Raw genomic sequence first — 13442 nt, 5'->3', positions numbered from 1 at the left:
CTCTGCTCCCTGTCCAGCGTTTCTCTGGTGTGCCCAGCATGGGGGACACAGATCCCAGTTGGGCCCATCAGCTGGAGGCTCAGACCCACAGCCTTCTGTGGGCAATGCTTAGAAATGGCCCGTGGGGGCCGGGTGCGGTGGCTCACGCCTGTAATCCCAGCACTTTGGGAGGCCGAGGTGGGCGGATCATCTGAGGTCAGGAGTTCGAGACCAGCCTGGCCAACATGACGAAACCCCGTCTCTACTAAAAATACAAAAAAAAAAAAAAATTGGCCAAGCGTGGTGGCACATGCCTGTAATTCCAGCTACTCAGGAGGCTGAGGCAGGCGAATTGCTTGAACCTGGGAGGCAGAGGTTGCAGTGAGCTGAGATTGTACGATTGCACTCCAGCCTGGGTAACAGAGCGAGACTCTGTCTCACAAAAATAAAAAATAAAAAAAAATAAAAAATAAAAGAAATGGCCCGTAAGAGCTCTAACTGCATTCTTCTCTGTCCTTGAAGAGTCCAGCGTCTCTCCCCCTGGCTCCCGGCTGTGCGCTGAGGCTTTGTCCCCTGTCCTTTGGCGAAGGAGTGGAGTTTGACCCCTTACCACCAAAGGAAGTAAGGTAAATATAGCAGGCCCCAATTTTATTCTTTTTTTTTTTTTAACAATTTTTATTTTTTATTCCAGATATTAATGCTTGTTGTTATAAAAAATTAGTTAATTGCAAAAGTATGACAGAGATGATTAATAGTTTGGTGGGTCCTCTTTCTGTTCCTGCATTCTAACCAATTAAATATATAGACATGCTTTTAAAATTAAAATAAAAATGAGATCATGTTATGTATAAAGTTCTGCATTTTCTTTTTGCAATTCATGTATCATGGCTGTCAGAGGGTTACAATTTTGTCAAATATTAATTCTTCTTTCCAGAAGCTGCTGTACCCTACTCCCTTACCTGCCAACCCAGTCTCTGAGGTCTTTTAACCTTGTCTCATAGTATAATTTCACTAGGCAAGCGCTGGTCTTCCTCTGGGGATTATCTCATCCAGGATTATCTGGGGGCAAAGATGCATTGAAAGGCTCAGGTAAAGAGAGGTCTTTTTAGAGAAAGGAGTTTTACTTTTGGTACCTGATGGTTTGATAGCTGGAGTTTCTGCTGCAGTAACACAAAGGCCCCTTTGACATGGAACAAAGACGAGGTTCATCAGTTGGGAGGTGAGCAGTTCAGCCTTTTGTTCCTGTGGAGCTTGTATTTTGAACAAAATGGGGCCATGACTCCCACCAGCCTCTTAACTACTTGCCTGAGGAGGAGAGATGAAATTTCCGTTCCACTCACAGAAAAGAATTCTGATTCTTACTCACCTGACCAGTGGGTAGGGGCTGGTTGGAGGCAGTGCTGTTAGATGTGTCTGTATGTGACGCTCATACTCTTTTCAGTATCTACAAAGCTATAAGCATTCAGTAAAATGCATTAAAGCTTTGCTTCTGTAAGAAAAGTAACTTTTGGGCCAGGCACGGTGGCTCACGCCTAGAATCCAGCATTCTGGCAGACTGAAGCAGGAGTTCGAGACCAGCCTGGGCAACAACAGTGAAACCCTGTCTCTACAAAAAATACAAAAATTACCTGGGAATGGTGGTGCACGCCTGTAGTCCCAGCTACGCAGGAGGCTGAGGTGAGAGGATCGCTTGGGCCCAGGAGGTGGAGGCTGTGGTGAGCTGAGACCACCCCACTGCACCACTCCAGAGTGGGCGAGAAAGCGAGACTCCATTTCCGAAAAACAAAAAAAAAAAAAAGAAAGAAAAGAAAAGAAAACTGACTCCCAAAATTAAAAGAAGGACTTGAAAAAATTAAATGCCTGAGGAACACAGATGCTAATTTATCTTATGGAAATCAAGATGATAATTGGCTTTCATTGATAAGTCAGATACCCAGATATGTAGGTTTAGGGAGGGTCCCCAAACCAAATGCCAAGGTGAACAAAGTATTAATATTTGGTATAGCCAAACTTTCAGAACCAGCATTCAAGGTTTCTGGGTTCCTTTATCCTCTCATTAAAGAGCTGATAGGGTGGGTGCGGCGGCTCATGCCTGTAATCCCAGCACTCTGGGAGGCTGATGCAGGAGGATTGCTCGAGCCCAGGAGTTTAGGACCAGCCTGGGCGACACAGGAAGTCCTCATCTCTACAAAGAATAAAAGATATGTTGTTTAAAAAAAAAAAACACAAAAAAAGAGGCCAGGTGCAGTGGTTCATGTCTATAATCCCAGCGTTTTGGGAGGCCAAGGCAGGCAGATCACCTGAGGTCGGGAGTTTGAGACCAGCCTGGTCAACATGGTGAAACCCCGTCTCTAGTAGAAATACAAAAATTAGCAGGGCGTGGTGGCGGGCGCCTGTAATCCCAGCTACTCAGGAGGCTGAGGCAGGAGAATCACTTTAACCTGGGAGGCGGAGGTTGCAGTGAGCTGAGATTGCACCACTGCACTCTAGCCTGGGTGACAGAGCGAGACTCCATCTCAAAAAAAAAAAAAAAAAAAGAGGAAACGGAGGCTCGGAAGAGTGAAGTAACTTGGCTGAGGTCTTAAGCTTGTGCGAGTGGGAGCAGGATCCAGGGCTGCTGCCCGCAGTGGCTAACAGTGATGTGGGGCCAGCTTTGGAAGCCTGCACCCCTGTATTTAAATCCCAGCTCCAGTACTCAGTGGCGCTGTGACCTTCACCTCTGCACCTCGGTTTCTTCTCTCAGGGTCGTTGGGGAGATTAAATTGGATCCCGTAAGTAAAGTACTTAGACGACGGGTACCTGGCACATAGTAAGTACTTTATAGACTCTGTGACCCTATGCTGCTTCTCACTGGGGCGGCCACGTTTCTACATGTGCACCCCACAAATGACTCACGGTCACAGTGGGGACCCCAAGCCCCCGGCTCAGAGGAGCGGCTTCACGCGGCCTCTTATGTCTCCCGCCCAGGTACACCTCCTTGGTCAAGTACGACTCCGAGAGGCACTTCATCGACGACGTGCAGCTGCCCCTGGGCCTGGCGGTGGCCTCCTGCAGCCAGACGGTCACCTGTGTCCCCAATGGCACGTGGCGCAACTACAAGGCCGAGGTGCGCTTCGAGCCACGCCACAGGCCCACCCGCTTCCTCAGTACCACCATCGTGTACCCCAAGTACCCCAAGGCCGTCTACACCACCACCCTGGATTACAACTGCCGCAAGACGCTGAGGAGGTTTCTGTCCAGCGTGGAGCTCGAAGCCGCGGAGCTCCCGGGCAGCGACGACCTCTCTGATGAATGCTGACCCAGCAGGCTGGGCTGGGGTCGGACCGGCTCTCCCGCTGTCCTGCCCCCGACTGCCCTGGCCAAGCTGGGCGACCTTACCCTTCACGTCATTCCAGCCCCAGAGGAGTCTAACCTAGAGATACCTCCAAGCGCGGCCGGGGGAAGAGAAAAAAAAGAAAAAATCACTGCATCTCATAATTATTGAGATCTTTGTGTTGTAATTTTCAAGCTGTTTTTAGAGGGAATATATGTCCTGGTTTGCTGCTGTGTTGTTTCCCCAAAGTCTCAATCAGATGAGGCAACAAAAAGACCACCAGAATTGCAGGAAAGCAGCAGCAGTCTGGGATAGGGAGGGGGGAGGAGAGCTCTCCCTCCGTGGTCAGTTTGTCAGAAGAAAAGCATGGAAAAAGTGAGATTTAAGAAATCTCAGCCACGGGTGTCTTCACTGCACAAAAGTGGTGCTAATTCAGTAAACAGTGACACCTGTGTGGGTTCAATCTGTGGAGAGTTGAGTTCCATTCCTTTGTTTTTAAATTTCCACCTCCATTTGTGTTTCCTATTAACCTAAACTCTTGTAATTCTCTAAATCTTTTTTCATGATATAAAAAAAAAAGAAAATCCCAAACCACAATTTAAGATGCCTTTTTTTTTTAAAAAAAAAGGTTCTCCGTGTTGCCACCTGCTCCGGGAAGGCCAGGCCGATGGGCGGCCAGGTTTGGGAGCAGCGGCTTCGGCTCCGATTGCTTCCTGACGGTCAGTTCCAAGCACAGGCTCTGAGAAACGCCTCGAACCCTTGGTATCTGGTGACCGTCTCCGCAGGCTTCCGTGAGTCTCCGATAGGTGTTTTGGGCTTTTGGAATACTTTCAGAATACTTTCCCATTTTTTCATAAGGCAAAACGGAGTGGACGGCCTTTTTTTGAGAGAAACAGCATTCTAAGAGTGTGCTTGGAAAACACACTTTTTGGGAGTCCACGTGGGGAGTGGACACTCAGGACAGGAAGCGGTGGCCCTAAGACCTGCGGCCACCCGGAGGAGGCAGACGCAGGCGATGACCTGGTTCATCATGAGAGGAGCTAGAGTTGACTCAGTCTTAGGATCTCGATGGCGTCAGAATTGCAGAGGGTTTCTGCCAGTGCCTTAGGTCTAATTCAGAAAGCAAGGAAGGCTGGGCACGGTGGCTGGCGCCTGTAGTCTCAGCTACTTGGAAACTGAGGCAGGAGGATCTCTTGAGCCCAAGAATTCGAGACCGGTCTGGCAACATAGTGAGCCTCCATCTCTAAAAAAAAGTGGCAAAGCTGAGGAAATCTGTGCCCCCATCCCCCGACACCAGACAAGCTAAGGTGCATTCAGAGTAGGGAACGATGTCAAAACCTGGCCGCCGTGGTGGCGCGCATTCCTCTCACACCACCGTACGGAGGCAGGTGACAGTCAACTGAAATGTCCCCAAGGACCGTGTGAATTCGGCTGGCGTGGCCCAGCAGCGGGGTGGACCAGGGTGCGGTGGCTTCAGACCTGCCTCCCGCCACCCCGTCCTCCCCTAACCCCTTCTTGGGACCTCCTGCCAATCCCTGTGGTGTTTGAGTAAAGAAAGTGGCTGATGGTTTTACTTTTTTCTTCCAATATTGGAAAGAACAAACTAGATATTCCCCTTGAACACATCCAAATTATTTCCAGTGCCTGAGGGTTACCGAGCACTGTAAGCTCAGCTCGGCTGTAGCTCCGGGTTTCTGCCGATGGCCTCCATCTGCGCCGAAAGCTGAACTGAGCCCCGCGGTGCCCCGGAGCCACAGCAGCAGGTGCAGCGACAATCGCCGTCGTGCGCAGTCGCTGGAGTCCTGGAGAGCCACGCTGTCCTCTGCAGACAACAGCATCAGTCCGCTGTGCCCCAATGCATCGACGCCCTGTGGACGGGGCCTGCAGTCCACCCGTGGTCTGAGCTTGCCGGGCTGAAGCTCGGCTGGGACCCAGGGAGGGGCCACCCTGGGACCCACAGTCTCCTCAGTCACGTGCAGAGCAAAAAATGCTTCCTGTGTTTGGAAGAGCAAGTGACGCAGCATTTATTGATAAAAATGGATTTTTCTGTCTGATTTCATGCTGTGGTCGTTTAAGTGGTCAATGTCTTTTTTTTTTTTTTTTTTGACATGGAGTCTCGCTCTGTTGCCCAGGCTGAGTGGAATGGCGCCAACTCAGCTCACTGCAACCTTCACCTCCCAGGCTCAAGCGACTCTCCTGCCTCAGCCTCCTGAGCAGCTGGGATTACAGGTGCCCACCACCACGCCCAGCTAATTTTTGTATTTTTAGTAGAGACGGGGTTTCACCATGTTGGCCAGGCTGGTCTCGAACACCTGACCTTGTGATCCACCCGCCTCGGCCTCCCAATAATTTGTAAGTTATGTTAGCGGGATCCTCAAGGCCTTGCTTTGCCCCGTGGAGACGCTTGCTCGGATGAGCTCAGGAAACAGTACCGGCTGCGTGGCAGGTCTGGGTGTTGTGTGCGAGGACGTGGCCTTTGAACACCGCTGTGTTCTCAGAGGTCCTTAGGAGATATTTTTTTTTGTCTTAGGGGGACTGTGTTAAGTTCAGACAAATCATGCTGGGTGTGTAGAGAGTGTGAAATACGTCAGTGAAGTAAGTAGCAGTGAGCGATTGTGAATGTGTAATGTAAATGGAAAACCGGGTTTTACCGTGTTAAGTTATTCACTAGGGAGCCAGTCGTAGTTCTTTGTAATCCTCTTTCTTCCAAACCTGCTTTGCTGAAAGTTGCAGAAAAGGAAGTGTGTGGAGAGAAACAGAACCCTTCAGGGTGGGTCAGAGGACGCCATCCACAGTGGATTCGTGTTCGTTTGCAGGTGGAAGCAGTGATTTTTAGGACCCACTGATTAAAAACAAACATTCCCAAGTGTCTCTGAGAGATGCTGTTTATTTGTTAATTAAAAAGCTTTTTTCTCTGTCTTTTAAATTATGGCTTTCATGTAATAAGGATATTTTTAGTGAAAAATTGTTTTCCTTTCAAATTACAGACCTTTTAAAAAAACTTAATTTGAGCGAGTACCTTTTCATTTGACACTTTTCCTGTTTCTAACCTTAGGAAACCAGAATAGCGTTTGGCAGACACGACGTTTTCAGTTTACCTTTGACACCTGCCCCACTCCATTTTGCTTTGTGATGTCTTCATTTAACAATAAATTATCTGAAAAAACAAAACTTAGAGAGATGCTTCTGTTTTTAAAGTAGAATTATGTTTGTTTACGCAAAATGAGAAAAACAGCTCCTCATCTTGAGAAATTTTAAGACGTGATTATATTTAACAGTATTAATCTACAAGTACAAGATTTTCCGAGTGTGGCTGGGCATGGTGGCTCACACCTATAATCCCAGCGCTTCACAAGGCCAAGGCTGGAGGATCACTTGAGGCCAGGAGTTCGAGATCAGCCTTGGCAATGCAGTGTGACCCCATCTCTACAAAAATTAAAAATTAAAAAAGAAAGGGGCCAGGCGCCGTAGCTCCCTCCTGTAATCCCAGCACTTTGGGAGGCTGAGGCGGGCGGATCACCTGAGGTCAGGAGTCCGAGACCAACCTGACCAACCTGGTGAAACCCCGTCTCTACTAAAAATACCAAAATTAGCCAGGTATGGTGGGGCACACCTGTAATCCCAGCTACTTGGGAGGTTGAGGCAGGAGAATCACTTGAACCCGGGAGGCGGAGGTTGCAGTGAGCTGAGATCACGCCATTGCACTCCAGCCTGGGTGATGGAGCGAGACTCCATCTCAAAAAATAAATAAATAAAAATAAATAATTTCTGTAGCTTGCTTCAGGGGAGAAAAGGGTGAGGGAAGATCAGAGAGCCCTTCGCTTCTGCCGTTTTCTCAGTTTCCTTGAGCTTAAAATACACAGCAAGCGAAAGTACCGTATTTTGGGGCAGCATTTCCTGCACGCCATCCGTCCCTTTGGGCAAAGCAAAGAGAGAGTCAACAAGAAATATTGAAAATGGATGGAGGCCCTGTATTTCATTCAAGCATCCAATTCACGGCAAGGCTGTGTGTGTATTTGTCTGTCTTTGAGTGATGACTGGGAAGTAATTATGTCCCAGAGATGCAGCTCCCTCTTGGATGCTGATCTCCCCTACTGACTTCGGATTCACCCCAGCTCAGCGAATGCCTCTATTTTATCTATTTTATCTACGGTTTCTTGTATAGGAACGTGTACTCAGCACAAATCCTGCCCTGAGGCAGATTCACATAGCGTTCCTGCCTTTCCCTGCGAGCGTCCCACACAACCCTTCCCTACGGTGGACGAGTCCTGGGTCTAGGGGTAACGGTGCAGGGACCCACCATCTCCCCTAGCTGCTGCCTGGGACCTCATGGCTTCTGCTCATGAGGCTCTATTAGATGTTTCTTTCTGTTTTGCTTTGTTTTATTGAGACAGGATCTCCCTCTTTCTCCCAGGCTGGAGTGGAGTGGCACAATCATAGTTCACTGCTGCCCAAGAACCTCTGGACACAAATTATCTGCCCACCTCAGCCTCCCGAGTAGCTGAGACTACAAGCATGTGCCACCACATCAGGCTAATTTTTAAATTTTTTTTGTAGAGATGAGGTTTCGCCATATTGCCCAGGCTGGTTTCGAACTCCTGGGCTCAAGCAATCTTCCTGTCTTACCGTCCTAAAGTTTTGGGATTACAAGTGTGAGCCACTGTGCCCATCTTAAATGTTTCTTTCTGAGGAACTAAATCTGTCAGCCTCTTTCTTCCAGCTCTCAGCTTCCCTGAACCTTGAGGATAGGTTTCCATAGGTCTGCCCATTGCGAAACAAATGCAGAGTATCGTTTCTGTAATTTTTTTTCCAGTCCCCTTTTAATAGGAATGATGCCTGATTTGGCTGACTGGGATAACAATGAGGGCTAATTTTGCCAATTAGGTTATATGGTGTAAATATTCCATAAAATGAATTGGCTAATCAGCAGTTCCAAGGTTTTGAGGGAAAAATATTTAAAGCACATAAGATTAAGGTACAGGGATGTGTGGGTGTGGGCACGTGCAGAGAAATAGTCAAAAGGGTGTTGAAACCAGTCATGTCCCCAACCTTTCTAAGTATCTCAGATTAAGCTGGTGCTCCCAAGAGGAAAAGTAGTAGGGATAATTAACAATAATATGATGAATCTCAAAAAGCCTTTTTGGTATAGTCTCTGGAAATTTAAGAAGCGAATGACTCTATTGATTAGGTAGCAAATCCCATTGCAAAGAATATGTCTTTCCAAAATGCTGATAATTTTATTTAAGAATAATCCCTATCAAGTAGTTTGTTTTTATTACTATTTTCCAAATTGCTTAGAAATACAAATAAGGTTCTATGATCAAATAAGTTTGGGGACATGAAAAGCTGAACAAGCTGAGTGTGTTTATTACAGGGCTGCTTGGGATGTTTGTATCGGTCAGCTCTTGCTGTGTAACAACCACCCTAAAAATCACACCACTGCATACAAGAGTAAGCATTTATTTCTTGCATACAAATCTATAGTCCGATACAGCAGTTCTGCCTCTGGCTAAGTGTTGAATTCAGATCTGTTCCACTCAGCCCTGAAACAGGTTAGAGAGGTGGCTTGGCCATGTTTTTCTCAGGGCAGAAGTGCTGTAATACCTCCTAAGGTCTACACTGGGACCTGGCACGCTGTTACTTCCACCCACATTCTATTGGCCAAAGCAAGTTACTTGGATGGATACACCAAACATCAAAAGTCAGGGTACCATACTTCTTCCACGGATGTGGGGAGAAGCAGTGAATATTCGCTCTATAATCACCTACCCCAGCGGTTAATATGGTAATGTGCGTTGAGAGTCTTCAACAGAGGAAATCTAGTAGATGGCACTTTCCAAACTCACTGGATCACAGAACCCACGAGCATTTCATGGGACTAATGTTTTTGGAATAAACTTTCAGAAATGCTAGTTCTTTTTGTTTTTGTTTTTTGTTGTTGTTTTTTTTTTTTGAGACAGATTCTTACAGTGTTGCCCAGGCTGGAGTGCAGTGGTGTGATCTCTGCTTACTGCAACCTCAGCCTCCTGGGTTCAAGTGATTCTTTTGCCTCAGCCTCCTGAGTAGCTGGGATTACAGGCGTGCACCACCACACCTGCCTAATTTTTTGTATTTCTAGTAGAGACGGGGTTTCACTATGTTGGCCAGGCTCGTCTTGAACTCCTGACCTCGTGATCTGCCCGCCTCAGCCTCCCAAAGTGCTGGGGTTACAGGCATGAGCCACTGCGCCCGGCCAAGAAATGCTAGTTTATATTCATAACATTCAGAGTCCAGTCAGGGAAACCAAAACCGTACTAGATATTTAACACAGAGAGCTGCTCACACAGATGTTGGAAGGCTGGGCGAACAGGGTATACGGAAGTCACCCAGATTATCATGAACTTCAAGAGGCAGCTCCCACGCCTAGCACCACTCTGATGGCAATTTCCACCTACAGCAGCTAGAAAAAGATGAGCAAATTAAACTCCAAGTAAGAAGAAGGAATTTAATAATGAATATTTAATAATAAAGATAGAAGTATAAAGCAATGAAATAGAGACAGACAAATCATTGTGAATTTTTTTAAATAAAAATTGTGATTCTTTGAAAAGATTGGAAAAAATTGATAAACTTCGGCTAGATTGATGAAGAAATAGCCAGAAAGCAAAAATTACAATATCATAATTGAATAGAGATCCGACAGACCTCGAAAGTATAATAAGATAACTTTACAAACAACTTTATGTTGATAAATTAGACAACTTGGATAAAATAGAAAAATTTCTTTAAAAAAAGCATCTTACCAAACTGACACAAGATGAAATAGACAAGAAGAATACACACATCTGTACAAACTATTTACATAAAATGATAATATACATGTATCAAAGGAATTTTTCTCACAAAGGAAACCCCAGGTCTAGATGATGGTGAATACTATCAAACATTCAAGGAAGAAATAACACCAATCGTACACACACCTGTTTGGAAAGCGGAGGCAGAAGGAACGCTCTCCAGTTTGTTCCGAGGCCAGCATTTCTGTGATTCCACAGCCTAACACAGCCATTGAATGAAAACCATAGACTAATATCATTCATGAATATAGATAGAAAAATCCTTAAGAAAAATAAGTGAATTAAATCCAGGAATATATAAAAAGGATCATAGGTCATAACTAAATGTGGTTCATCCCAGGAATGCAGGGTTGGTTTAACATTTGAAAATCAATCAATGTAATTCACCATACTGACAGGTTAAAACAACAACGAGAAAGAACATACAATTATCTCCATAGATGCAGAGAAAACATTTGACAACATTTAACACTTATGTGTGATAAAAGCTCTCAGCAAAGCAGGAATAGAAGGAAACTTTTCCAACCTAGTAAAAGGCATCTGTGAGAAACCTTCAAGTACTTCATGGTGAAAAGAGTGAATGTTTCCAAGTGGGGGAACAAGGCAAGGACATTCACTCTAACCACTGAGTGTCGACATTGTGTTGGATTCGTCTGTGAATAATATAAGAAAAGGAAGAACATGCAGATTTTAAAGGAAGAAGTAATATTCTCCCATATGCAGAAAACACAATCACCGTGAAATGCATTTAATGAGAAAACACTGAACGCCGACCTCCTAAGATTGGGAATGAGGCAAGAATACTCACTTCACCATTGTATTGTCGGTCGTAGCCCATGAAATAAGGCAAGAAAAATAAAAGGTATAAAGATTGGAAAGGGGCCGGGCACGGTGGCTCATGCCTGTAATCCCAGCACTTTGGAGGCCAAGGCAGGAGGATCGCCTGAGGTCAGGAGTTCGAGACCAGCCTGACCAACATGGTGAAACCCCGTCTCTACTAAAAATACAAAAATTAGCTGGGCGTGGTGGTGGACACCTGTAATCTCAGCTACTCAGGAGGCTGAGGCAGGAGAATCACTTGAACCCAGGAGGCAGAGGTTGCAGTGAGCTGAGATTGCGCCATTGCACTCCAGCCTGGGTGACAGAGTGAGACTCTGTCTCAAAAAAAAAAAAAAAATTGGAAAGGAAGAAGTAAAACTGTCCCTGTACATAGATGACATGACTGTTTACATATAGAAAAATCTTACAGAATCAACCAAAATATTATTAGAATTAATAACTAAATATATCAAGGTCTCAGAATACAATGTGGATATATGAGTCAATTGTGTTTCTATATACTGGTAACAAAAATGAAATTTAAATCATAAATTTATATGTCACAAATCACAAAATACTTAGGAATAAATAAAATCACATGCAGTCTTTACATTGAACACTCTAAAACACTGCAGAGGGAAATTAAGGAACATGCAAATAAACGAAGTACACCGTGTTCCTGGAGTGGAAGACTTGCCACTAAGATGTCACCTGTCTCCAAACTGTACTATAGATTCAACGCAATCCCAGTCATAATCCAACAAAGTGTTTGTTTTTTAATTAAATAAAGTTTGAAAGTTTGTTTTAAAATTTATATAGGGTGAGGCATGGTGGCTCACAGCCTGTAATGCCAGCACTTTGGGAGGCCGAGGCGGGTGGATCAGCTGAGGTCAGCAGTTCAAGGCCAGCCTGGCCAACGTGGTGAAACCTGGTCTCTACTAAAAATACAAAAATTAGCTGGGCATTGTGGCACATGCCTGTAATCCCAGCTAATCGGGAGGCTGAGGCAGGAGGAGAATCGACTGTACCTGAGAGACAGAGGTTGCAGTGAGCTGAGATCACACCACTGCACTCCAGCCTGGGCCACAGAGCAAGATTCAATCATAAAAAAAAAAAAAATTAGCTGGACGTGGTGGTGGGTGCCTGTAGTCCCAGCTGCTCGGGAGGCTGAGGCAGGAGAATCGCTTGAACCTGGGAGGTGGAGGTTGCAGTGAGCCGAGACCATGCCGCTGCACTCCAGCCTGGGTGACAGAGCGAGACTGTCTCAAATAAATAAAAATAAAATTTATATAGAAATTTAAGGAACCTAGAATAGCCAAAATAATCTCAAAAAAAGAAAAACACCAACTGATTTTAAAGCTACAGTTATCAAGACAGTATAGGGCCAGATGTAGTCGCTCACACCTGTAATACCAAAACTTTGGGAGGCTGAAGTGGGAGGATCACTTGAGCCCAGGAATTTGAGACCAGCTTGGGCAACATAATGAGACTCCATCTCTACAAAAAAATAAAAAATTAGCTGGGTGTGGTGGTGTGCACCTGTAGTCCTAGCTACTTGGGAGGCTAAGGCAGGAGGATTGCTTGAGCCCAGGAGTTTGAGGTTACAGCGAACTATGATGGTGTCACTGTACTCCAGCCTTGGTGACAAAGCAAGACCTTGTCTTGGAAAAAAAGGTAGTATAATTTGTCTTAAAGATAGACATGTAAGTGGGACAGAATAGGAGTCCCATAGTAGACCTGTTGCAAATTGATTTTGACAAAGACGCCAAAGCAATTTGATGGGGAAAGGAGAGCATTTTCAGTAAATGGGGCTGGAACCACCAGTTCTCTATATGGGGAAAAAAGTAAACCTCAACCTCTACCACATACCACGAGCAAAAATTAATTCCAGATAGATTATAGACCTAAATGTAAATGTTTAAAAGAAAAGCTAGGAGAAAGTCTTTAAGACCTGCGGGGTGCAGCGGCTCATGCCTGTAATCCCAGCACTTTGGGAGGCCAACACGGACGGATCGCTGGAGGCCAGAAGTTTGAGACCAGCCTGGCCAACATGATGAAACCCCGTCTTTACTAAAAATACAAAAATTAGCCAGGTGTGGTGGCGGGCACCTGCAGTCCCAGTACTCAGGAGACTGAGGCACAAGGATTGCTTGAACCCAGGAGGTGGAGGTTGCAGTGAGCTGAGATTGCAGCATTGCACTCTAGACTGGGCGAGAGAGCAAGACTCTATCTTGGGGGGAAAAAAAGACCTGAGAGTGGGCAAAAATTTTTTTCTTTTTTCTTTTCTTTTTTTTTTTTTTGAAAGGAGTCTTGCTGTGTCATCCAGGCTGGAGTGTAGTGGCACGATCATAGCTCACTGCAATCTTGAACTCCTGAGCCCAAGCAATCCTCCCATCTCAGCCTCCCAAGCAGCTGGAACTGCAGGTGTGTGCCACCACACCCAGTCAATTTTAATTTTAATTTTGTAGAGATAAGATTTTGCTATGTTGCTTAGGCTG

General features: G+C 45.6%; 1 protein-coding gene across 1 annotated transcript; it reads left to right on the top strand.

Annotated features, from left to right (window-relative positions):
- Positions 1 to 500: 500 nt before the first annotated feature.
- RFLNB (refilin B) lies at positions 501 to 6463 on the top strand (the record flags this gene model as incomplete). Its single annotated transcript, NM_182705.3, is given in 2 exon segments — positions 501 to 605; positions 2947 to 6463. Coding segments are annotated over 2 exon segments (436 nt in total), but the record flags the coding sequence as incomplete, so codon positions are not given.
- Positions 6464 to 13442: the final 6979 nt, after the last annotated feature.

Source organism: Homo sapiens, chromosome 17, assembly GCF_000001405.40.
Source record: "Homo sapiens chromosome 17, GRCh38.p14 Primary Assembly".
NCBI lineage: Eukaryota > Metazoa > Chordata > Mammalia > Primates > Hominidae > Homo > Homo sapiens.
This window is presented reverse-complemented; position numbering and strand designations above follow the sequence as displayed.